A 27,873-nucleotide genomic window follows, 5' to 3' on the forward strand; every position below is an offset into this window, starting at 1 on the left:
TAACTTCCATTTCTTGTCAATGAAGAATCCAGCCTGAGAGAACTAACTCAACAGCAGGTTTCTTTAATTATCATAATAATGCAAAATCTGTAACATGATAAAATCTGCAACCAGGCTTGCCCCCAGTTTCAGCACACTGTATCTAAATATCTGTTTCCTTTGCAAGGAAACTGTTTCAGAAAAATCTCTACTGAGGTATTTCCCCTAACTTGAATGCAATCATAAGAAAAACAGACAGTTGGCCGGGTGCAGTGGCTCATGCCTGTAACCCCAGCACTTTGGGAGGCTGAGACAGGTGGATCACCTGAGGTCAGAAGTTCGAGACCAGCCTGGCCAACATGGTGAAACCCTGTCTCTACTAAGAATACACAAATTGGCCGGGTGTGGTAGTGCATGCCTGTAGTCCCAGCTACTCAGGAGGCTGAGGCAGGAGAATCACTTGAACCTGGGAGGCGGAGGCTGCAGTGAGCCAAGATCATGCCACTGTACTCCAGCCTGGGTGAGACAGAGCAAGACTCCATCTCAAAAAAAAAAAAAAAAAAAAAAAAAATCAGAGAGTTACCGGGCACGATGGCTCACGCCTGTAATCCCAGCACTTTGGGAAGCTGAGGCAGGCAGATCACGAGGTCAGGAGATCGAGGCCATCCTGGCTAACATGGTAAAACTCCGCCTCTACTAAAAATACAAAAAATAATAATAATAATAACCAGGCGTGGTGGCACGTGCCTGTAGTCCTAGCTACTCCGGAGGCTGAGGCAGGAAAATTGCTTGAACCCGGCAGGCAGAGGTTTCAGTGAGCTGAGATCATGCCACTGCACTTCAGAGCGAGACTCCATCTCAAAAAAAAAAAAAGAAAAAAAAAGAAAAGAAAAAATCGGGCAGAATGCTAAAAAAACAGCTCTGTAAATGTTTGTTCTTTTCTGTTTTACTAGTTAGTATTTTACATCTATGACTTAATTTTTATCATGTATGCTAGGATCTTAAATTTTCAGTCTTGAGGGAGCTATTCAGTTTTTCAATTTGCTAGAATCCAGAAATCATGCATTAATTCCATAGACACTCATTGCATGAATATTACATCCTATGTATCAGGCAACGAAGACAAAGTGGTGAGGACAAACCCAGTCATTGCCTTCGTGGAATTTAGACTAGCAGGTCGAAATTTAAACATGAACTACTGGCTATAGTATAATAAAAACAAGTAATCTAAACCAAAACAACTTCTCCTTAGAGGTTCTGGATTGCAAAAGAAACATTAAAATGCCCCTGCTGCAAAAGTATATTCAAATAATTTTCATGGGTAGCTAGCTATCAGCTGGATGCTATTAAGATACAGATTTAAAGAAAGCGAATATTGGCCAGGCATAGTGGCTCATGCCTGTAATCCCACCACTTTGGGAGGCCGAGGAGGGTGGATCAGCTGAGGGTCAGGAGTTTGAGAACAGCCTGGCCAATATGGTGAAACCCTGTCTCTACTAAAAATACAAAAATTAGCTGGGCATGGTGGCAGGCACCTGTAATTCCAGCTACTTGGGAGGCTGAGGCAGGAGAATCACTTGAACCCAACAGGCAGAGGTTGCAGTGAGCCAAGGCCTCACCATTGCACTACAGCCTGGGGCAACAAGAGTGAAACTCCATCTCAAAAAAAGAAAAAAAGGAAAGAAAAACAAAGCAAATATTTAGACATTAATTAAATAATACTTGTAGTTATGCTAGTTAAAATATGCTATGTATAAAAATAAATACAGCCAGGTTTGATAGTGCTCGTTGGTGCATCTGAATATTCAAACCCGTCACAGAAATGCAGCTCGAAAAGTAAAAACTTGACAGGATAAACTTCCAAGTATAAATATTGGCATTAAGTTGCTTGCCTGGCTGCATATATAAATCAGGCTGTTCCTTGTAGAAGAAGATCTAAAATTTACCAACAATTTCTATTTGAAAAATGAAACCAAAGTCTAGAAATACTACTATGGTCCACCAGTCAGGTTTGGGTTTATGGTCAGGGGAAGGATGAAGGCTTGACCTAAGTCCATAAAACATTGGGTCAATGTGGTAGCTAGTTCCTAAGATGGCGCCTAACGGTCCTTGCCTCATTGTATTTATACCCATCAGTGGTCCCTTTTCCATGTTGTATCAGAGTTAGTCTGTGTGACCATCAGAATATGGCAGAAGCGATGGTGTGTCTTTTCTGAGATTAGGTTATAAAAGACTGAAGCTTCTATCTTAGGCTTTCATTTTTCGGGAAGCTAGCTGCCACATCTTGCTGTTAACTAAGCACCCTATGGAAAGGCCCATGTGGAAAGAAAATGAGATTTCTAGCTTCAGCCAGTGAGGCATGAGCTCAGCCAAACACCGAGTAAACTTGGAAGCAGACCCTCTAGACTTCAGATAATTGCAGCAACCTTCAGCCAGAAACATGCAACTAAGCTGCTTCTGGATTCCTCACCCACAGAAACTTTTTTTTTTTTTTTGAGGCAGGGTCTCGCTCTATGGCCCAGGATAGAGCGCAGTGGTGCGATCTCAGCTCACTGCCACCTCCGCCCCGAGTTCAAACAGTTAATTCCAGGCGCACGCCACCATGCTCCGCAAATAATTTTTGTACTTTTAGCAGAGACAGGGTTTCACCATGTTGGCCAGGTTGGTCTCAAACTCCTGAACTCAAGTGATCTGCCCGCCTCAGCCTCCCAAAGTGTTGGGATTACAGGCATGAGCCACGGCTCCAGGCCTGGATATCTGATGTACAGAAACTTTGAGATAAATGTTTGTTGTTTTAAGTTGCAAAATGTAGGAGTAATTTGTTATGCAGCAATAGATACCTAATACAACACCCCCCACCATACTAGATAATTTGAAGCAAACCCCAGAAGCAATATCATTTCATCTGAATATATTTCATTGTGGATTTCTAAAAAATAATTTCTTTTTTCTAAACATACCATCATATTATCACACTTAGAAATGAACAATAACTGCTTAATATAATCAAGTATCCAATGTATCTAATCACTGCTCAAGTTTCTTTATCTCATTTTTTTTAAGTTTATTCAATTTAGGATTCAAATAATTTCCATACATTGCAACTGGTTGGTATATTTCTTTTATAGGTTCTTTCTCAATTTTTTTTTGCAATTTATTTGTTGAAAAAATTGGGTTGTTTGTCCTGTAGATATCCTATATTCTAGATTTTGCTGACTGCATTCACAGGGTGGATTTTTTTATGTATATATTTTTAAAAACTTTTTTCTCAAATGGATTCTGACAGTTCAATGGTGCTATTGAACATGCTCCTCTCTCTTGTATTTTCTGTAAATTGGTAATGACAGAGACTTGTTCAGATTAAGAGTTTTTTGTCTGCTTGATAATATTGCATTGTAGGTGGCACTTTTATTAGGAGGCACATAGTGTTAGATAGCTCCTTTTTGGGAATTTTTTTTTTCCGAGTTGGAGTTTTGCTCTTGTTGCCCAGGTTGGAGTGCATTGGTGCGATCTCAGCTCACTGCAACCTCTGCCTCCCGGGTTCAAGTGATTTTCCTGTCTCAGCCTCCTGAGTAGCTGGGATTACAGGTGCCCATCACCACGCCCAGCTAATTTTGTATTTTTAGTGGGGGTTTCATCATATTGGTCAGGCTGGTCTCGAACTCCTGACCTCAGGTGATCCACCCGCCTCAGCCTCCCAAAATGCTGGGATTACAGGCGTGAGCCACCACACCTGGCTTCCCCTCATTATCTATATGCATACAAGAAAGGCAGAATAAATGTATGATATGTGTTCTTTATCAGATTTCAAAATAATGAGTTGGTTTCCTTCTGTGCCCTGAAGATGATCAGTAGGGTTTTTTAAAGCATCATTATGAATTTATGGCTTTAAACATATTTGTTGCACTTTAATCTATTGCAATAGATTAATCCATTATTCATATTAGTGGTCAAATCATCCTGTCTTTGAACAGTGGCAGCTTCTTCAAGTTGGCACCATGTGTTTTTGATATGATCCCAGTAGAATTGATCATTTCTTTGCTTTTTATTATGACATGATGATTTAGCCTCATCATATACTTATTCTGGTCCATATCTAGAATCAGTCATTCCTCCAAGAAGCATCAATTCCATTTATTTGGAAATGGTATTTATAACACAGTCTGCGTAATACATGTTATTTTTACTGGGTTGGTCATTATCTCCAGGTCTTTTCAGTGGACAAAGGTAAAAAAAATACTTTTAAAAAAGAAGCATAACCACAAAAAAGAATGAAATCATATCCTTTGCAGCAATGTGGGTGGAGCTGGAGGTCATTATCATAAGTGAACTAACTCAGAAACAGAAAACCAAACACTACATGTTCTCACATATAAGTAGGAGTTAAACAATGGGTACATATGGACATAAAGATGAAAATTATAGACACTGAGGACTCCAGAAGAGGGGAGGGTGGGAAGGGAGCAAGGGCCGAAAAATTACCTTTTGGGTACAATGTTCACTATTTGGGTAATGGGTAAACTAGAAGCCCAATATCCACCAATATACCCACATAGCAAGCATGCACCATATCCTCTGAATCTAAAATACAATTTTTTTTTTTGAGACAGAGTTTTGCTCTTGTTGCCGAGGCTGGAGTGCAATGGCGTGATCTTGGCTCACTGCAACTTCAGCCTCCCGGGTTCAAGCAATTCTCTGCTTCAGCCTACCGAGTAGCTGGGATTACAGGCATGCACCACCACGCCTGCCTAATGTTTTTGTTTTTTTAGTAGAGGCAGGATTTCGCCATGTTGGTCAGGCTGGTCTTGAACTCCTGACCTCAGGTGATCCACCTGCCTCGGCCTCCCAAAGTTCTGGGATTACAGGCATGAGCCACCTCGCTCGGCCAATAAAATACAATTTTAAAAAAGAAAACTACATTTTGTATGACTTTATCTATATGAAATGTCCAGAACAGACAAATCTATGGACACAAAAAGTAGATGGTGTTTGCCTAGGAATGGTGAAAGTGAAGGAACATGGAAGAGGGCGGCCGTGATGGCTAAGAGATGCAGAATTTCTTTTCGGGGTGATGAAAATATTCTAATATTGATTGTGGTGGTGGTTACACAACTTTGTGAATATTGTGGGAGACATTGAGTTGTACACTGTAAATGGACGAACCATACAGTATGTGAATTATACCTCAGTAAAGTTGTTTTAAAAATTCCAATGGCAGAATCAAGATAATTTTTTAAATTATCTATTTTGGATGTACATACTCCACATGATCTGAATATTTCTATGCTTTTGCAATAATTTTAAATGAAAGGAGAATGAAGGAAATGCCTAACTTTTCAAATAGTTTGTAAATTAATCTAACACATTTGCATTTTAGAGAACATCATAATGACTTTTCTATACAAGTTAATCTGAAATTCATGAAATAGACACAAATTCTGTATCCATGCACAAAAGTGAAGATAAGAAATAAGACAATTTTCAGGAACATTCCCTTAAACATTCTCCTCTGATTTAACCTGGCTTGCCTTACCATGGCAATAGAGAAATCACTAAAACATGCTGTTTAACAGGAAAAAAGTCTCTCAATTTCTGTGAGGAGTGATGTATGATTCTGATCTCTCCTAAGGGTAAATATTATAATATTATATCAAAAAATTATGTAATTATAAGCAAAAGTGGCAGAAAGAAAGTCAGAGTTTAAGAAGTAAGTGCATTATACTGGCCAGGCATGGTGGCTCACTCCCGTAATCCCAGCACTTTGGGAGGCTGATGTAGGCAGATGGCTTGAGACCAGGAGTTCAAGACCAGCCTGGGCAACATGGCAAAACCCCTCTCTACAAAAAATACAAAACTTAGATGGGCATGGTGGTCTGTGCCTATAGTCCCAGCTATTATGGAGGCTAAAGTGGGAGGACAGCTTGAGCCTGGGAGGCAGAAGTTGCAGTGAGCCAAGATTGCAACACTGTACTCCAGGCTGGGCGATAGAGGGAGATCCAGTCTCAAAAAATAAGTGGAAAAAAATAAGTGCACTATAAAGATAATTAAACTGTAGTATAAAATAAACTATACTGAGACTGGGTGCTGTGGCTCATGCCTGTAATCCCAACAATTTGGGAGGTCAAGGCAGGCAGATCACTTGAGGTCAGGAGTTCGAGACCAGCCTGGCCAACATGATAAAACCCCATCTCTACTAAAAATACAAAAATTAGCTGAGCATGGTGATGTGCAACTGTAATCCCAGCTACTCAGAGAGCTGAGCCTTGAGAATCGCTTGAACACAGGAGGGGGTGGTTGCAGTGAGCTGAGATCCTTGCCACTGCACTCCAGCCTGGGTGACAAAGTGAGACCCTCTCTCACAAAAAAAAAAAAAATTAATTATAATGAAAATACAAAAAAAAAATAATGTTACAATATCATACTGATACTTCCAACTCAAATTCAGAACTACAGGGATTTTTTTAAAGATTTTAATTGTTTTTAATTGACAATTATATATATTTGTGGGGTACAATGTGATGTTTTGATATATCTACGTATTGTAAAATGATTAAATTAAGCTAATTAAATCCATCACCTCACATACTTACCATTTTTTGTGGTATATTTAAAATTTGCCCTGTTAGCAATTTTGAAAGATACATTATTAACTATAGTCACCATGCTGTGCGATATATCTCAAAAACATGTTTTCTAACTGAAACTTTGTACCCTTTGACCATCTCTCCATGTTCCCACCCCCATAATTAATTATATTAATCATGCAATTAATTATATAATTAATTATATTAATCATGCAATTAATTATATAATTAATTATATTAATCATGCAATTAATTATATAAGTAATTAAATAAGGCTAATTCATTAGGTGCCCCACAAAGGAATAGTTATTTCTTGAGCTCTGTGCCACGTGGTTTAGTAGCTCATTCAGAATGGCTTTACTTCCAGTAACTAAGGAATAGAGAATAGCTGTTGTATTATTATTCCTAGATTTAGTCAAATAACTTGTTTAAACTCTGGTAACTCTTAGTGATGTTAGATGATGAAAATCAAGTGGGAAATTTAGTCATATTTCCATCTATTCCATCGGTCATGCTTGAATGAGATAATTTGGATGAATAAATCTTGATTGCCAATCCCTCAGCATTTCTACCTTCTTCCTTATACAGAACACTGATTTGCTCAGGCACTGTGAAATATTAAGAGAATGAATCATGTTTGATCCAAGCAGTGGTTCTCAACCCTGGCTGCACATTATAATCTCTGCGAAAGCATTTTACAAATATTGAGCCACAGCACCACCCCAAAACAATTCGATCAGAATCGTTGCAAGTTGGGTGCGGGTGCAAATACGTTTTAAAATGTTCCCTGTTGTGCAGCCAAGGACAGGACCACAAGTCTGAGCCAATCATGGCAATTTAGCTCCTTTATCAGTGACCAGGGGAAGATGCCTGATCTGACCTAGGAGACTTAGAGGGGAATTCTGTTAGAGGCTTCTGGTAAAAACAACATTCTTTCCTGAAACAAGAGAAGATTGTATGGAGAAAGACTTGTAAGTACCCGTGCGCTTGCTTGCTGCTTGGAGCAACGTCAGGTGAGTAGGGAACGCTCGGTTGTGGTGGCCATTTGCAACTATCAGGGAAGACACCTGAAGCAATAAAGACAGCCGAGCACGAAGATCGAAGAGTTCCAAGAGACACTGTAATGATAATGAGAATAACTAATTTACTATAGGAATTAGGACTTACACGAATATGAAAAGAGTTGCAAAAGTGAAGGTCTGGAAGGGAGAGTCAGAGAATCAGAGAAATAGGCTGAAGAGTCCACTGAAGCACTGATGTGAGTAACAAACTGCAGCTGGCCGAGAAATCCAGGAAATCAAGCGTGACCAGTTGCCAAAGTGGGACTGCAAAGAGCGTATTCATGGAGGGTCTCGAAATTGCCATCTCTGGGGAAAGGTTCGTCTTTGTGTAGCTATCGCCTACACCCTGGGTCAGGGGCTGTTATTGATCAGCCGAACCAGCAGGTGGCAAGAGAGGCAAGACACAGAATGGAGAACAGCAGGACAAGCTGGGACTCGCAGCATCTGTCTCTACCTGTCGCCCGGTTTCACAGCAATGACCTTTTGAGCACAGTCGCTTCAGTTTCATTCACTTTTCAAATCTCATACACATTCCTCTTTTGTTCAATTCTAACCTAGAACCATATAGGGAAGAGGATTCTGGGAAATGTAGTTCCCATCCTTAGCCAAGAAATGGGATAAACAAGCAAGTTATAATCCTTATGGAAAGTCTAAATTTCGTGGTTAAAAATCATCAATAAAGTCAAGTTTGAGATAATACCAGCTGAGTACTTCTCAGAACCTTGCCGTCTCCATTATTTATAAATGCAAATCAATTTCTTTACATTTGTAGGCCCATGCTTCTTTTTAAGTTCTGGTACTTCCCTCTTACAGAGATAAATTGGTAATAAGCACACACTATCGACAAAGAGTAAAGGTTAGGGACAAAAATTCAAAGGCTAAGAAGGATTTAAAAAATTAAAATTTGAAGAAGCAGATTGATGTTAAAAATAAAGATTGATGGGAATTAAAACATTCAATAGATAGGAAAAACAGACTGAAGTAGGAATTAAAAACAGGAAACTTCTACTTTTAAATGTGTTGAGGTTAAAAAGTAGAGAGAAGCAAACCAAAAAACGGGGAAAGAGAGAAAAAAGCGGGGAGAGACGGTACAAGGGAGAAAGACTGCAATACGTTTGAGTTCCTGGTTCCAGATACCTTTGATGCTAACTGTACTGCTGATCTTAATAGGGTTTTTTGGTTTTATTTGGTTTGGTTTTTGAGACAGTGTCTCACTCTGTTGCCCAGGCTGGAGTACAATGGTGACATCTCGGCTCACTGCCACCTCCGCCTCCCGGGTTCAAGCAATTATCCTGTCTCAGCCTCCTGAGTAGCTGGGATTACAGGCACATGCCACAACGCTCAGCTAATTTTTGTATTTTTAGTAGAGACAGGGTTTCACCATGTTGGTCAAGCTAGTCTTGAACTCCCGACCTCTGGTGATCTGCCCTCCTCGGCCTCCCAAAGTGCTGGGATTACAGGCGTGAGCCACCGTGCTCAGCCAGGGTTTGTTTAAATGAGCCAACAAATCCCCATTTTTTGCCCAAACTAGTTCCCTAAACTGGGGTTTTTTGATTTACAAACAAGAGTAATAATGGATTTTATTAGACAAATACTCTTGGAAATTTACCCAGTTATTTATTGCACTAATTTTAGTTAAATGAATGTTTTAATTTTTTTTTTAACGTTTGATTTGGTTATTTTCCAATTGATTTTTAATCCTTCCTCCTTGGAAATCCTGCTTTCTATTCTTCCTTTAAAGGTAGTAATTCCAAGATTTGAAGAATGATAATAATACTATATAGAAGTAATTCCTAGGACTATATGATATGCAATACCTCAAAACTAATCACACTTGTTCTTCAACTATACAGTGGATAAAAAATTCAGAGACGTAGTCTAGTATTTTGAAGACAGCACATTATCATTTATGCCAAGAAGAAAACGTCATGACTCAAAAAGTGAAACTAGTAAAGCTTTTAGGCAAAGCTCTAAGGGGAAGAGTATTCTGTACTGCCTTACAAAGTAAGTATACTTCCTGTTTGTGGGAAGAACAATGAAGAGAATACAAGGGCGTCCAATGTTGGTTCACTTTATGAAAACCCAACATTTTTAAAAATTGTGTTATTATTATTGCTATCATTTTGAGACGGAGTCTCACTCTGTCGAGCTCTGTCGCCCAGGCTGGAGTGCAGTGGTATGATCTTGGCTCATTGCAACCTCCGCCTCCTGGGTTCAAGCGATTCTCCTGCCTCAGCCTCCAGAGTAGCTGGGACTACAGGCACCCACCACCATGCCCAGCTAATTTTTGTATTTTTAGTAGAGACGGGGGTTTCACCATGTTGCCCAGGATGGTCTCGATCTCTTGACCTCGTGATCCGCCTGCCTCGGCCTCCCAAAGTGCTGGGATTACAGGCATGAGCCACCATGCCTGGCCTTTTTTTTTTTTTTTTTTTGTAACACAGAGTCTCACTCTGTCTGTCAGGCTGGAGTGCAGTGGCGTGACCTCGGCTCACCGAAACCTCCACCTCCCGGGTTGAAGCGATTCTCCTGCCTCAGCCTCCTGAGTAGCTGGGATTACAGGCACCGCTACCACACCTGGCTAATTTTTTTTTGTAATTTTAGTAGAGGCGGAATTTCACCATGTTGGCCAGGTGAAAACCCAGGGTAAGAATGCTCAGCTGCTGCAGAATAGTCATCTGTTCAACTAACGTTAATTGTTCCCTCTTGAGGTACAAAACACTACCAGAGACCAGACCCAAGGGACTATGTATGTGGAAAGAAGAAACTGGAAGCTTCCAATTGGTACTAACAAAATTTCAGAATCTGGAGGCTAGCAACTGATCCCAAACTCTTTTTTGTTTGTTTTTCATTGGAGAGTGAGAGTGAAAGAGGACAAGTCAGAGAAGGAGAAGCAATTTTTTTTTTTTTTCCTTAAGACAGGATCTATCTCTGTCACCCAGGCTGAAGTGCAGTGGTGAGATCATAGCTCACTGCAGTCTCCATCTCCTGGGCCCAAGCAATCCTCCTGGCTCAGCCTCCTGGGTAGATGGGACTACAGGCACACACCACCACACCCAGCTAATTTTTTATTTTTTGTAGAGATGGGGTCTCACTATGTTGCCCAGGCTGGTCTCAAACTCCTGGGCTCAAGTGTTCCTCCCTCCTCAGCCTCCCAGAGTGCTGGGATTACAGGTGTGAGCTGCCTTGCATGGCCTGTTTTATAGTTTTAAAAAAATTGATACATAATAATTGTACATATTTATAGGGTCCATGTGATATTTTGATGCATGCATATAATGTATAATGATCAAATCAGGGTAATCAGGATATCCATCACCTCAAACATTTATCATTTCTTTATGTTGAGAACATTTCAAATCTTCTTGTGCAGCTATTTTGAAATACACAATAAATTATTTTTAACTATACTCACTCTTCTATCCTCTTTTCTACATGTTTCACTTATGTATTGTGGTATTAAGAAAACACTCCAAAACTTAATGGCTTAAAACAACAATCATTTCCTTATCTCTCATGGTTTCTGTGGGTCAGAAATTCAGGAAAGCCTTGGTTAGATGGTTCTGGCTTGGGTTTCTAATGCAATTGTAGTGAGACACTGACTGTACCAATGAAGGGCTGAAGCAACTGGGGGCAGGTCAAGCATCTCTCTCCAAGTAGTCTCAGGGTCTCTTTATATGAGCTACTTTAGGCTTCCTCAAAGTATGGCAGCCTCAGAATATTTAGGCTGCTTATATGTGGGTGGCATCCCTCAGTGTGATCCTTAGAGATCAAGGTGAACATGTGGCATATTTATTACCTATCCTTAGATGTCACATGGCATCCCTCTGCCATATGCTTTTGGTCAAGGCAGTCACAAAGACTTGCCCAGGTTGGAGAGGAGAAGTCATAACCTACACCCCATCTCTCAATGGGAAGAAAGAAAATGTATGGTAAGAAGAGAGGTGAGATAAAAGATACTGTTGTGGCCACATTTGGAAAATATAATCTGCCACACTGCACCTACCCTTTAACATGTATTTTGTTTTTAGTGCTTCTGAATTGTCCTCAGCACTGTTTAAACCGAATTTCATCTTCATTGTTATAAATATCCACTGGTGAGTAATAAGACAAATGAAAGACAGTGTGTTTTTTCTAAGGCTCCACATCCAACCAACAATAGCCATGCCCATGTCTGTAAACTCCCACCAATCCCCTCTCTATTCCTATTTGAAAATAACTGGAATTAATGAGTTTTATTTTGATAAAGGTCCCTGCAAACCATAGCAGTCACTTTATTGCCTATCTAATATACCAATTTTATGGGCCATATACTATAGGCAAACCACAATATATCAGTAGAATATTACAGTTAAATAAGCATCAAAATATTGATGCATATACTAGATTTTATTATAATTTTCACTTTTTCCAGTGGCTTTGGAATCTTGCTACACTTTCAGAAATATAAGAACTTCTAGAATGGGAATATGAGTGACTTATTTCCTTTAGTCTTTTTTTGTGTTTTGTGCTCTTCAAATTTTTCTATAATAAAGCATTTATTAATTTTCTTTTGTTGTTGTTGTTTTCTGAGATGGAGTCTCACTCTATCACCCAGGCTGGGGTGCAGTGGCATGATCTCGGTTCACTGCAACCTCCACCTCTCAGGTTCAAGTGATTCTCGTGCCTCAGCCTCCCAAGTAGCTGGGATTACAGGTGTGTGCAACCACGCCCAGTAAATTTTTATATTTTTATTAGGCACAGGGTTTCACCGTGTTGGCCAGGCTGGTCTCGAATTCTTGACCTTAGGTGATTCACCCACCTCGGCCTCCCAAACTGCTGGGATTACAGGCCTGAGCCACTGCGCCTGGCCGTTACTTTTCAATCACGAAAAAAATAAAGTGAAATAATAAAAAGAATAATAAAATAGTGAAATAATAAAAAGAATTGCCCTTGGGACCTTCTTTAGTTACTTTTCTTTTTATCTTTTTACATTATGAAACACTATTCACGTAGCAAAAAGTATGAAAATAAAAAGGGTACATTATGAAACACTATTCACGTAGCAAAAAGTACGAAAATAAAAAGGGCTAGGCACAGTGGCTCACGCCTGCAATCCCAGTAATTTGGGAGGCTGAGGTGGGTGGATCACGAGGTCAGGAGTTCAAGACCAGCCTGGCCAATATGGTGAAACCCTGTCTCTACTAAAAATAGAAAAATTAGCTGGGTGTGGTGGTACGTGCCTGTAGTCCCAGCTACTCAGGAGGCTGAGGCAGGCAAATCGCTTGAACTTGGGAGGCAGAGGTTGCAGTGAGCCGAGATCGCACCACTGCACTCCAGCCTGGGCAACAGAGCAAGACTCTGTCTCAAAAAAAAAAAAAAAAAAAAAAAAAAAGGCATCTACTAATGAACTACAAGATTAAACAAAAGTCAACATTTGACAATATCAGATTCTTCTCTTTCTCTTTCTCTTTGTCATTTAAAATAAATTACAGATACAATTAAAGTTAAAATATTATTAAAATGGCCGGGTGTGGTGGCTCATGCTTATAATCCCAGCACTTTGGGAGGCTGAGGTAGGCAGATCACAAGGTCAGGAGTTCGAGACCAGCCTGACCAACATGGTGAAACCCCGTCTCTACTAAAAATACAAAAATTAGCTGGGCATGGTGGCGCGTGCCTGTAATGGTCGCAGGTGCCTGTAATCCCAGCTACTGGGGAGGCTGAGCCAGGAGAATCGCTTGAACCCGGGAGGCGGAGGTTGTAGTGAGCTGAGATCACGCCACTGCACTACAGCCTGGGCGACAGAGTGAGACTGTCTCAAAAATAAATAAATACATGATTAAAAAATCATGCCCATCTTTCTACCTTTCCTTCCTATGTCTATCATAGAAGACTGAATACTGCATAAACACTGTAGTTTACATGAATGGTGCCCACAACACAATCATACATGACCGACCCAGAATTCCTATACTGAATTAGTGATTTTCATTATAATTCTCATTTTCGTACTGTTTATAAGTGTTCCCCATATGCTGATGTTTAAATATTTACTTAGATGGCATATTATAGTTATTTTGCAATTTGCTTTTTTTTTTTTAAGACGGAGTCTCGCTCTGTTGCCCAGGCTGGAGTGCAGTGGTGCCATCTCGGCTCACTGCAACCTGTGTCTCCCAGGTTCAAGCGATTCTCCTGACTCAGCCTCCGAGTAGCTGGGATTATGGGCGTGCACCATCAGACCTGGCTAATTTTTGTATTTTTCGTAGATTCAGTGTTTCGCCATGTTGCTCAGGCTGGTTTTGAACTTCTGGCTTCAAGTGATCCACTCATCTCGGCCTCCCAAAGTGCTGGCATTACAGGTGTGAGCCACTGCACCTGGCCATAATTTGCTTTTTAATGTTATCCATGTTAATAAGTGTGTGTCTAAATTGCTAATAAGTACTGGTCTATGGTATTACATTTTATAAACAAGTCACAATTTATCCTTTCCTGTATGAAGGTAGTTAGTTTTACTCCCGTTTTCCTCTATTACCGTTAGTACCGCAATGAACTTTTTTTTTTTGAGACGGAGTCTCGCTCTGTCGCCCAGGCTGGAGTGCAATGGCACGACCTTGGCTCACTGCAACCTTCGCCTCTCGGGTTCAACCAATTCTCCTGCCTCAGCCTCCAGAGTAGCCGGGACTACAGGAGCCCGCCACTACACCCGGCTAATTTTTGTATTTTTAGTAGATACGGAGTTTCACCATATTGGCCAGGCTGGTCTCGAACTCCTGACCTTGTGATCCGCCTGCCTCGGCCTCCCAAAGTGCTGGGATTACAGGCGTGAGCCACCGCGCCCGGCCAATGAACATTCTTATACATGTCTCCCTCTTCATGTAACTATTAGTTTCTCTAGGGAATGTAGGTAAAAACAGAATTGCTAGCCACAGGTATAGATCTTGTATATTGCCAAATGCATCTCTGTAGTGAGCTCAGATTCAGCATCAGACAGACCCTCCCCCACCCCAAAATAATGCAGCAAATACAATAACAGTCTATTTCTCATTCACCTAAAAACCTAGAGCAGCATGTGCTGAGACCCTCATAGTGAGTTGAATGAACACCAGGTAACTTGTAGAATGGGTTGAGGGGAGGGGTACTCTGCTCTACACAGCTATTCAGGTAACCAGGCTGTAAGGGATGCTGCCATTTTTAACATGTGACTTTCAAGTTTCCTTTGGCATGGCCATTCCAGGCAGTCAGAAGGGGGAAAGGACATGGAGAAACACATCATTTTTAATCCCATTCCACTGGTAACATTCTGTTAGATAACCACACCCAACTGCAAGGGAACCTGGGAAAGACAGTCTAGCTGCGCGCCCTAGAAAAAGAAGAAAATGAATTTGATAAAAAATAAGCAGTCTCTGCCTCACTGTCCAAAGTATTGAGAGTCACTTATATTTCTAGCAGTGTACAAGAATTTCTATTTCTCTACACTTTTACCAACACATAATATGAATTTTCAATTTTTCTCAAGCCAGTAGGTATAAAAGAGCCTAGCATTGTGCCTTTCATTTGTATTCCTCTGATTCATAGCAAGGTTGAACATCTTTACATATTTTTCTTTGCCATCCGTTTTTTCCTCTCCTGTTTAAATCAATTGCTTTGTTTTTCCTTTTTGCTTTGCCTTATTTATCTAGTGGCAGTTCTTCGTAAATTCTATTATAGGTATTTTGCTATATGAATTGCAAAATTCTTCCAATTTGTGCATGTCCTTTTACTTTGTTTATGGTGTCTTTTGTCATACAAAATTTCAAATGTTATTATATGCAAAAATGTTATTATATGCAAATTTATCAGTTTTCCTTTATGAGTTGTGGTCTTTGTGCCTTATTAAAGAAATCTGTCCTGGCCCAGGTATAATGAAGACATTTTCCTGTGTTTTCTTATGTTTTATAGTTTTGTTTTTCATGTTTAGTGTCTATTTTACCTTAATTTTTTGGTGGGTGGCAAAATTTTCCTTCTTACCCCATATGGAGAATCATTTGTTCCAGCGTCATTTATTGAATAGTTTACCATTTCCCAACTGATTTATAAATAGATAAAAATTCTGCCTTAAATAAAAAAATCCATATATGCATGGGTCTGTTTCTAGACTTGTATTTCGTTTTAATGGTCTATTTGATGATCTGTTTAATTGTAAAAAGAGCGTGTTTTAATTATTATAGATTTATTATAAGCTTGATATCTGGTAAAGATAATGCTTCCTATTCTTCAAAATTGTCCTGGCTCTTCTTGGCCTTTTCCATTTGAGTTTTGCATGGGTTTTTCAAATTTAATGAAGATCCTTTGGATGTATGACAGGAATTGCACTAACGTCATAGATTAATTTGGAAGAGTTGCCATCTTCATGATGAGATCTCAGAATTCATTCAAACATCTTTTTAATGATTCCAGAGTATCTTTTTATTGTGATATGGGGTTACAATTTTAAGCTATGTATGTATTTGTCGATGCCCATATAACTGTACAACACAAAATAAGGACCATAAACTATGGACTTTAGTTAATAATAATATATTGTTATTGGTTTATTAATTATAACACACCCATTAATGCAAGATTTTAATTATAAGGGAAACTATAAGCTAAAGAGTAAGGAGTTATATGGGAGTTCTCTTACTATCGGCTTAATTTTCCACAAACCTAAAACTGCTATAAAAAATAAATTAATTAATTAAAAAAAACTCTTAAGCTATGGTGTCCAATTCCTACTAGTTGTGAGACTCAGGGCCACGTTTTGTTGGGGGATTTTCTGTAATTTTCTTTTATTTATTTTCCTTATCTGTATCATATACTTATCTGTACCATGATACTTATGATGGTACTTACCTCAAAAGGTTGTGTGAGGATTATATGATACATGAAAAATGTTTAACGTGGTGATTGGCATATTGGCAAACTTCAGTGGTAGCTACAGTAACAACTCAGGCTCCATCACTTCTCTCTCTCTCTCTCTTTTTTGAGACAAGGTCTTGCTCTGTCACCTAGGCTTCAGTGCAGTGGTGCAATCATAGTGCACCAATCTCTAACTTCTGGCCTCAAGTGGTCATCCTGCCTCAGCCTCCCAAGTAGCCGGGACTACAGGCTTGTGTTACCACACATGGCTAATTTCTAAATTTTTTGTAGAGACAGGGGTCTTGCTATGTTGTCCAGGCTTATCTTTAATACCTGGTCTCAACAATGCTCCCACCTCAGCCTCCCAAAGCACTGGCATTACAGGTGTGAGCCACCGTGTTCCGCCTGGAACCTCTCTCTTCTGATAGACTAACATTCCAGCTTTAGATTTCCCTTCTGATTTAGTCCTTAGCTGCTTAATCCATTCATTCATTGTAAAAATATTTATTCTGTCTCAGATATTGTGCAAGCCACTTTAGATACAAAAATATGTAAGTTTTCTTGACTCAAATAATTTATAGTCTGTTGGAAGAGACAGAGAGTTAGAAAATAATAGTGTGATGCTATGGTGCCATGAAAAGAAATGCCTGACCTTCATTCCATGTTTGGCTGCAAGGATGGTTGCAACAAGCATTCAACATTTTCAAGGATTTTCCCAACCTCTAAGTCAAGCTGGACTTGGGACACAACCTTCCTTGGTTTGACTAAAGAGCCATTGACCAAACCTAGGTTCTGAAAGAACGATGAGTTCTGAAAGGTCTGAGGCCCCATTAACTCTACCTAGACCCATCACCATTAGCAATTGGTGTTCTGGGTTGATTGGCCGCTTTGCTGTCAAGTAAAATGTACTGTTAGTATTAATAGCGGCATGTATTATACCACTCTTGAAAGTAACAAACCCTTCCATGACTCTTAGAAGCCAAGCCTTGCCTATCACACTGCTTCTGTTTCCCTAATCAGGCCACTCATTTCACATAAATGTGTTGCCACCAACACCCAGCAACATTGCCCAGAACACCAACTGCTCCACCTTTCAGAGTCACCTGAATCCTTTGTGCCAGTTTGTATAAAATCTCCACAATTTCCTTACTTGGCCCCTGCTGTGTCCTGAATGCTTATGAGCCGGGAGATCAGAAAACTTCTTCCAAAAGACAATGACTCTTGAACAAAGCCAAAGTATGATCCAATGCCAAGAATTTATAAAGTCTTCGAAAAGATCTCTGATTCTCATGATCCTCTGGAAAGTTTTGCTTTGTGGTTTTCATTCTTTTTGAGTATTATGGCATACAATGACTTCTCGCTTGTGAAGGAAAGTTAGCTTCCATTCTGACCATATATGAGAAGAAATTAAATTGGTTAGTGGCTCAGTGGTTATTTGTCCATAATCATATTATTTGTATTTTTACAGGCTGAACTAAGCTTTTTTCTAAAATTTTAAAAAATTTATTTATTCTTTTTTTTAAAAAAAGTATTTATTTTATTTTTTTAGTCATAGTCTCGCTCTGTCACCCAGGCTGGAGTGCAGTGGTGTGATCTCGGCTCACTGCAACCTTTGCCGCCCAGGTTCAAGCGATTCTCCTGCATCAGCCTACCGAGTATCTGGGATTACAGGCCCCTGCCACCATGCCAGGCTAATTTTTGTATTTTTAGTAGAGATGGGGTCTCGCCATTTTGGCCAGGCTGGTCTTGAGCTCCCGACCTCAGGTGATCTGCCTGCTTCAGCCTCCCAAAGTGCTGGGATTACAGGCATGAGCCACTGTGCCCGGCCTACTAGATGTAATTTTGAAGCCAATACCCACAAAGTTATCCTAACGATACTGAAAAGAACCTGAATAATAAGCATAAATTAAACATTAGCTATTTATTGTTTTAAAGTTAATAGCCATAAAGGGGCTCAAACAACTCTATAATCCAATTAAAAATGGGCAAAAGGTTTGAATAGACATTTTTTCAATAGAAGACATAAGACAAGATGCTCAACATCATTGATCATCAGAGAAGTGCAAATCGAAACTACAATGAGATGTCATCTCACCCTCATAACTAATCTCACCCCCAGTTATTGCCTGTCTTTTGGATATAAGCTAAGAAAAAAGGGAACTTTCATACTGTTGATGGGAATGTAAATTAGGGTAACCACTATGGAGAACAATTTGGAGCTTCCTCAAAAAACTAAAAATAGAAGTACTGTACAGCAATCCCACTGGTGCATATATACTCCAAAGAAAGAGAATAAGTATGTTGCAGAGATATCTGCACTCCCATGTTTATTGCAGCACTGTTCACAATAGCTAAGATTTGGAAGCAATGTGAGTGTTCATCAACAGATAAATGAATAAAGAAAATGTCATACTTATATACAATGGAGTACTATTTAGCCATAAAAAATAATGAGATTCAGTCATTTGCAATAACATGGATGGAACTGGGGGTCATTATGTTAAGTTAAATAAGCTAGGCACAGAAAGACAAACATTGCATGTTCTACTTGTTTGTGGGATCTAAAAATCAAAACAATTGAACCCTTGGAGATAGACAGTAGAAGGATGGCTACCAGAAGCTGGGAAGGGTAATGGGAGAGTGAGAGGGAGGTGGGGATAGTTAATGGATACAAAAAATAGTTAGAAAGAATGAATAAGGCCTAGTATTTGATAGCACAACAGGGTGACTATAGTCCATAATAATTTAATTGTACATTTAAAAATAACTAAAAGGGTCTAATTGGATTATTTGTAACACAAAGGATAAATGCTTGAGGAGATGGATATCCATTTTCCATGATGTGATTATTACACATTGCATGCCTATATCAAAACATCTAATATATCCCATAAATATATATACCTACTATGTACCCAAAAACATTAAAAATAAAGTTAAAAACTAGACAAAATAAAATAAGTTAATAGCCATAATGCACTAAGTTTTCCTTACCTTATATGTTAACTTTTATACAGCAATATAAGTTATAAAAAAACCAAAACTGAAGTTGTAATAGAAACGTACTTCAACTTTTTCTTTTCTTTTTCTTTTCTTTTTTTCTCTTTTTTTTTTTTTTTTTTGAGACAGAGTCTCCCTCTGTCGCCCAGGCTGGAGTGCAGCGGCACAATTTCAGCTCACTGCAACCTCTGCCTCCCAGGTTCAAGCAATTCTCATGCTTCAGCCTCCCGAGTAGCTGTAACTACTGGTGCGTGCCACCATGCCCTGGCTAATTTTTATACTTTTAGTAGAGATGGGGTTTTGCCATGTTGGCCAGGCTGATCTCAAACTCCTGACCTCAAGTGATCCTCTTGCCTCAGCCTCCCAAAGTGCTGGGATTACAGATGTGAGCCACCGCGCCTGGCCTATTTTCACTTTTGACTTGATTCATCCTAATCATATAAAACATCAGCATTTTTATGAGGAGAAAAAGTAAACCCCAGCCGGGCACGGTGGCTCATGCCTGTAATCCCAGCACTTTGGGAGGCAGAGGCTGGCGGGTCACGAGGTCAGGAGTTCGAGACCAGCCTGACCAACATGGTGAAACCACATCTCTACTAAACATACAAAAATTAGCCAGGCATGGTGGCGCATGTCTGTACTCAGCTACTCAGGAGGCTGAGGCAGGAGAATAGCTTGAACCCTGGAGGCAGAGGTTGCAATGAGCCGAGATTGTGCCACTGCACTCCAGCCTGGGTGACAGAGCAAGAGTCCATCTCAAAAAATATATTAAAAAAAAGCAAACCTCTGCCCTAGAAATGATGGTTTTTGTTCCAAGATAGTGCTAAAACTACTTTGATTGTTGAGATCTTAGCAGCAGGTAGCACAACAGTTCATTTACACATTAATCATTTTTAAACCTGACATTTGGTTTCTTGTAATGTTATGACTACTAAGCAGAAGCTAATTACTCTAGAGCACATTATGAGTTCTGAATGCCTTTTTTTTCCCTCTGTAAAGAATGTTCAATCATGTCTCCTGCCTGTTCTTGTTCGCTGGATTTCAGTATTACCCACAATGCTTCTTTAAAATAACCCTTGGTTTCTTAGGAAGTTAACATAGAAAGCAATCAATTACAACTATGTGCATATACAACAGAAATAAATCTGATCCTAAGTAAAGCTAATATTTGCCAATGTTTCCACTGATAAGGAAGCCAGGTCATAGAATCTGAATATAGAACAAATTTTCTCTTTATTGAGTGCTTTCAACAGAGGCCAAAGTAAGCATTTTCTGAGGTTCAAGTATTTTATATGTATGCATATATACAAAAATACACACATACGTATATATAAAATGTAATATAAATATATGTGTATTTATATATGTGTATTGTATATATAAATCATGTATATATAAATTTAGTATAAAAGTAAATATATTTTTATGGAAATAAATGTTGTACTCACATTGTAATCAGGAGAGTGGTTCATATATTGTGTTTGTCTTCAGAAACAAATAAAAACCCAACACATGAACACAATTTTGCTGACTTAACATTTTTTGCAAATGTTGTTTAAAGGTTTCTACTTTCATGATGCACTATTTTCAAATACAATTTTAAAAAGCTGTTGTGAATGCTTACTTATTTTGGACTCATAAAAAGTTCTCTGCCCAAAATATTAGGGTTAAGCGCATGAAGCATAAAATGACTTCAGCTTAGTAAATCTTTTGTCCTATTGTATAGGTAGTTCATTACTTTTTAAAACTGTGAATTTTCTCTGTGCTATCACTAAATTCAATTCTAGAATAAAAAATGTAAGGAGAACTAGGTAAAGAATCACCTTCGTTGGAATTTGAGCAGCTATTTGCTGTTGTACTCTGTTAGAGTATTTATTAGTCATCTTACATTAATTTATAAAAATTTGGTCTTACAAGCTTCTACTTAAAATTAAACAGACTCACAATGAATGAAAACCATGACATAATGAATAACAAAATGAAGGCTTATTTTAGTGAAGGGATTCTTCCTTAGTATTTTTTGGCATTTGGGGGAACATTTTATTACATTTATTGAAAAAGAAGAAAAGGGGAAAAGAAAGAAAAGCAGTCTATATAAAACAAAGTAACACTACTAGAAAAATGAATAAGACATGAATCTAATGCTGTTGGAACTCATTGTCTAGTGAGAGATATAGTTAACCCTTCACAATAAAAAGTGATGAATGTGTTTTTCACTGCTATGGGAACCATAGACCTAGAGCCCAACCTCCAGAGAAAGTTCAGGAGAACACACTTCTGATGTCAATATTTTGGAAACTCTGGGTGAACAGGGGCAGATCATTTTAACATACCTCATCTGTGTTTGAATTTCTAAGACATAAGACTGATGAACATTTGGGTTCCACTCAGCATTTTCCTATTAAATGCACACTTCCCAAAATCTTTTCATGTCCACTAAAACTAGTACTAGATCTGATTGAATTCAATGTTTAAATGTGTTAAAGATGAGTCTTTTTTTTTTTTACTATAAATATACTTTAGTTATTTTTGTTTACAACTGAAACTCTGGGAATTCAAAATTAACATCCTTTCCAATGAGCTTCTTATAGATACCAGAAAAAGTTGCAACCTTGTATTCCACATTGTCCTGCTGTGCTTTGTCCAATGAACCTTTATGAGCTGGCTGCCATCCAGTTTCTCTCCCCTCCCTGTCCTTACCATCCCACCTTTTTCTCTTCACTCTCTGGCTCAGGCTCTCTCTGTATCTGATTAACAAGGAACCCAAGCTACAGAGGGACAAGGATGTGTGTGTGTGTGTGTGTGTGTGTGTGCGCGCGCGCGCGCGCGCGTGCGTGTGTGTGTGTGTGTGTGTGTGTTGGTGGGAATGGAGAGATAAGGGAGGGGCACTGGGGGAGTACTGCAGCCTCTCAGACCCTGCCCACAATGCAGAAGTTGAAAAATCAGCCACCTGGTTCAGTCTCAAGAGTCAAAATCACCAAACCACACAAACCTTCTAATACTGAACATTGAATCTAGTGTGCAATTTTGCTAAAAGATATTGTATTTTTTTCCTCTATCATATTCTCCTTGTATTATTCTGGCATCGGGTAGGCTGAGTGCCCAGCAGAGGTATGGGTAACTGTCCTATTCCAGAAAGAATTGGTAAAGGTAGTTCTCTTAACAAAAATATATGGCTACTTTTACATACGATTAGTTCAGTAGCAACATCACATGATGTTTCCTTATCTTCTGACCTATATTTATCAACCCCAGTGACGGGCCTACAACTTAGTTTGCATCCGCCTGTCACTGAGAACATGATACAATTAAAAATTGCTCAATTTTTTATAATTTCCCTGGAGCGTTTCTCCCTTACTTTTGTTACCATATCACATTTTTATCACATGATGTTACTTATAAATTTCTATCATATACTAAAGGTATTTATATGCACCCTTTGTATTATCTGCTAAACTGTAAACTAAGAGCAAGTTGCATGTCCAATTTTTTTATAAGCTCAGCATTTAACATGTGATATACATTAAGAACACATAGATGCCCAATAAATATTGGTTAAATAAGAGAATGAATAAATTAACATTCTCTTCCTTTCTATAATCCCATGATGACTCTGCTTTTGGTTGCTCTTTAATTTGGCATCATTAACTCTTCAGTATTTCTACTGTATGCTCTCACTGTAACACTTTCATCATCTTTACTCTCCCAGGCCATGGGATTTTTCTTCACTACATTACTTTAGTAAGCATTGTGCTAAGATGACACAAACATTTTAACAGCTTTGTAAGATGTTTCTAATGTCACCTTTTATGAACACCAAATGAATTGTATACAGACACATGGCAGATGAGGCACTTTTAACCAAAATGAGCTGAAGACACTTTTTGTATTTTGGTAGTATTATCTGCAATCTCCCCAAGTATGAATGTACTAATATCTAAAATCAAGAGGAAGCTATCTTGAGAGATGTTTCATTATGTGTGAGTGAGTAAGATGTTTGGAAGGAGGTGATCAGTTTAATTTTAATTGTAATTTTCATTCTGTCACCCAGGTGGGAGTGGGAGTGCAGTGGTGTGATCATGGCTCATTGCAGCCTCATCCTCGTGGGCTCAAGTGACACTCCTTGAATAAGTGGGACCAAAGGTGCATGCCACCATGCTTGACTAAGTTTTTAATTTTTTCAGAGCTGGGTTTTCGCCATGTTTCCCAGACTGGTCTTGAACTCCTGGGCTCAAGTGATCCTTCCACCTCAGCCTGCCAAAGTGTTGAGATTATAGACATGAGTCACCACACCCGGCCCAGTTTAATTTTTTTTTTTTTTTGAGACGGAATTTCACTCTTGTTGCCCAGGCTGGAGCGCAGCAGCGTGATCTCAGCTCACCACCACCTCCGCCTCCTGGGTTCAAGTGATTCTTCTGCCTCAGCCTCCCGAGTAGCTGGGATTACAGCCATGCCCCACCACGGCCGGCTAATGTTTTATTTTTAGTAGAGATGAGGGTTTCTCTACGTTGGTCAGGCTGGTCTCGAACTCCCGACCTCAGGTGATCCACCCACCTCAGCCTCCCAAAGTGCCAGGATTACAGGCGTGAGCCACCGCTCCCAGCCTAAAATTTTTTTTCTAATAAAAAAAAGAGTTAAAACTTTAAAAAAATATATACACTTATTAAATAACTATGTAAAATGGCTTAAAATGGAAAGTAAAATATAAAGTACTCTGCTGCCCAGCCTCTAGTTCTTCTAGTAATTACAGTTGTAACTCCACAGCTTTAAATAGCTTATTACTGTAGATTTATCAACTTGGGATAATATATAATATATATTGCTTCCTAATACAAATCATTTTTCATACTTATCAATTTTCCCATCCATACCTCTTAACTAAATCGTTATTTTATTTCCATTTGTGAGCCGCCATTACTAGGTACGTAAATTTGGGCAAGTTACTTAACCCTCTGTGACTCAGTTTTTTTTGTTTTTTGTTTTCTGTTTTTGTTTTTGTTTTTGAGACGGAGTTTCACTCTTGTTGCCCAGGCTGGAGTGCAATGGCGCGATCTCGGCTCACCGCAACCTCCGCCTCCTGTGTTCAAGCGATTCTCCTGTCTCAGCCTCCCGAGTAGCTGGGATTACAGGCATGCACCACCATGTCTGGCTAATTTTGTATTTTTAGTAGAGACAGGGTTTCTCCATGTTAGCCAGCCTGGTCTCAAACTCCCGACCTCAGGTGATCCGCCCGCCTCGGCCTCCCAAGTGCTGGGATTACAGGCGTGAGCCACTGCACCCGGTGACTCAGTTTTACTGTCTCTCAAGTGGACAAAAGTCTTTGAATACTTAGAGTGATTATTGTGAGGATTAAATGACTTAATGTATGTAAAATGCTTAGAACTGTGCCTGGCACATAGTAAATACTGTGTAAGTAATTACAGTCACTACTCTTGCTTTTCTTTTAATGGCTACATTGATAAATTCACATATTCTTAAACATTAGTATCTTACTCAGTTTATTTTTTTTTCCCAAATCAATAGGTCTTTTATTGCATCATTTAAATATCACAAGTAGGAGTCATCTGGCATCTTCTTTCTGTAGCTGGATAACTCTTAGATCTTATTCATCAGCCTGCTGACCAGTTCCTTTTTCAGAGACATAGATACCATCCAAAAATTCCCTGATATCCTTCTTTTTAACTGTTGTGGCTTGTTGAATCAAAGCCGCTGAATTTGAAACAAGCTCAATGTCATTTCCTTCAAGGATTAATTCATCTTTCTGGGCTTGAGATACTGAACAAACAACACCTGCTCTCATCCAAACCCTGCGGATGTATTTTTTACCCAAGAAATTTCGGATTTCAACAAGAGACCCATTCTCCTGGATAACGACGTTGATGGGGAAGTGAGCATACACAGATCTCATCTTGTAATGGAAGCCTAGTGTAACACCCTTGATCATGTTCTGTACATGACTACAGATAGTCCGAACGGTAGCCAGTTTCTTTCTGTTCCCCCACCGTTTGTCAACTTGGAGCCTCTTTTTTTTCTTTCCAAGAAGACTGAGTTCTACTGATGTGATTGAAGTCCCTCCGCAGGGTTCCTCTGGGGCCCTTCACAATAACTGTGCGTCCCTTCAGAGTAGTGTCGACATTTTTCATTTTCGCAGTAGATGCAGCAAAGAAAGCTCTTATTCAGTTTAACTAGAACATATTGGCTCCCTGTTTTGTAAGCTACTCTTGCATTATCCTTCATCTCTCCTCCTGACCTTGCACCTCCCAATTGATAAGAAGTAAGTAATTAATGTAACTAAATGAAATCATTTAATTCAGTCATTTATTCAGTTCTGTGACAAAAATTAAGATTTCTTTGTTTTGTGTAGAAAAGTTTTGAAACTTGAAAGCCCCTCAAAAGATAGCATTTACATTTTTATGACGTTAATATTGTTTACTACAGAGTAAAGCAGAATAAGGTTATACTTTGCTGTAAGTCCAACATTTTTTCCCTGTACCAATCAAAAAATAATGTTCCAAACATCAAGATAAAATATTTCCTCTTCTTACATTCAATTGCCTATTCAATCATTCCATATTTTAGTTTGCCTTATATTTAACTCATCAGTTTTTTTTATTTACAACAGTATTAGTTGTTTATACAAGTTCCTACTTTATACGATTTTTTGTTTAGGCAGCTTTTCAGTAACATTTCTATTACAAGTTATTCATGAAGCGTCCCAGGAGAAAGTTGAGAAGCTTCAAAGAGCCACATGCAAGGGACAGGTGACAGAAGGGCAAAGGGGGAATAGCAATCACTCCGTAAACCACCATTTCTTATAAAACCTTTATTGCTTAGTGGTACTTCTGATTGCTTTTCTTTCGCCTCGCTGACAAAAGAAACCCTTTACTCTATGTGAAGATTATCCAGCCTGTAGAAATTACTATCTGTTGCAGGACTGTTCCAGGATCCCTCTAATTTCCTGCTTCCATCTGGACAAACTTTGTCCTAATTTTCCCCTGGCTTAGCTTCATTGTTTCCATACTTTCCTCTTTTTCACATTTATTCATTGTTCTGCTAAACTATATATTCAAATAGTATCCTCAAAAAAGATGATTGGGAGATCAACTTTCTGAATTCTTGCATGTCTAAAAATGTATTTGTACTCAACAATTGTCTGATAATTTGGGCATAAAATATGAAGTCCAAAATCACTTATTTGAGAAGTTTATAAACACTTTTCATCATTATCTTCTCATATCCAGTGTCGCTATTTAGAAATTGACAGTTGGATACTCCTTACTCTGTAAGTGAACCTGGATTTTCTTTCTGGAAGCTTTTACAATTTTATCTTTTTCCTTGGTAATCTGAAATATAATGAAGATGTGGGAACGTAATATTTTATTTTAGTTTTCATATAGCCTACTTGACTCTTTATAGGTATTTTTAGTTTAAAAACTTATTTGTTTTCAGTCCTAAGAATTTTCTTCCTTTAATAATTCCCTCTCTTCTATTTCTTCAATTCTTTTTTTCTGAAATACACCTTAGATCAAGTGTTGGAGTTCCTAGATTAAGCCTCTATATATCACCTTTTCTTTCATGCTTCCCATCTTCATTTTTGCTCTTCATTCTGGAGACTTCCTTGCAGCACTTCTATTGATTTTTTGTTTGTTTGTTTTTTGACACGGTGTCTCACTCTGTTGCCCAGGCTGGAATGCAGTGGAATGATCTCGGCTCACTGCAACCTCCGCCTCCTGGGTTCAAGCGATTCTCCTGTCTCAGCCACCACGCCCGACTAATTTTTGTATTTTTAGTAGAGACAGGTTTTCACCATGTCGGCCAGGCTGCTCTCGAACTCCTGACCCCAAATGATCCTCCTGCCTCAGCCTCCCAAAGTGCTAGGATTGCAGGCGTGGGCCACCACACCTAGCTCTATTGATTTTTTTTTTAACATTTGTTTTTGGTTTCTAAAAGCTTTTTTGTGTTTCCTAATGGTTCATTTTTCATAGTTTTTAGCATAGGTTTTTTCGAGCAGAGTATCTAGCATAGTAATGTGGATACAATATGACTTCTAACTCTTCAGAGGATACTAATAAGAATTTGTGTTATCAATGTTGTAAGTTCTCTTTCTCAAATTGGCTCTGTTTATGCCCATTTTTGGTTTGTTCATCCTGGTCTTTTACATTAAAATTGTTAATTTTCTTCCTATTTCTGGGGATATATATATTTGTCCATTTATACTTACAAAATAAAAGATAGGCTAGTCAGTATCAATGCTGGCATGAGTTTCTCCAGCTGTGTGTTGTTTCTCCAGCAAGTCTCTTCCCTAGCTAGCAGCAGTATGTGTGTAGATGAGTGAGGGGTATTTCTTGGCCAACTTTATTTACTTGGTCTTTTTAGGTAGAAAGCAAGAG

The 27,873-nt window shown here is 38.9% G+C and overlaps 1 pseudogene, besides 2 other annotated features; it reads right to left on the bottom strand.

Annotated features, from left to right (window-relative positions):
* Positions 7,701 to 7,860: an enhancer, noted in NCBI's record as "active region_24720". NCBI's record gives its function as "activates an Ori minimal core promoter by ATAC-STARR-seq in GM12878 lymphoblastoid cells {active_cell/tissue: GM12878}" and the evidence as "EXISTENCE:reporter gene assay evidence [ECO:0000049][PMID:35858748]".
* Positions 7,941 to 8,000: an enhancer, noted in NCBI's record as "active region_24721". NCBI's record gives its function as "activates an Ori minimal core promoter by ATAC-STARR-seq in GM12878 lymphoblastoid cells {active_cell/tissue: GM12878}" and the evidence as "EXISTENCE:reporter gene assay evidence [ECO:0000049][PMID:35858748]".
* Positions 24,995 to 25,652, bottom strand: RPL9P18 (ribosomal protein L9 pseudogene 18; annotated as a pseudogene).

The sequence above is a fragment of the Homo sapiens genome, chromosome 6, assembly GCF_000001405.40.
Source record: "Homo sapiens chromosome 6, GRCh38.p14 Primary Assembly".
NCBI classification, from domain to species: Eukaryota; Metazoa; Chordata; class Mammalia; order Primates; family Hominidae; genus Homo; species Homo sapiens.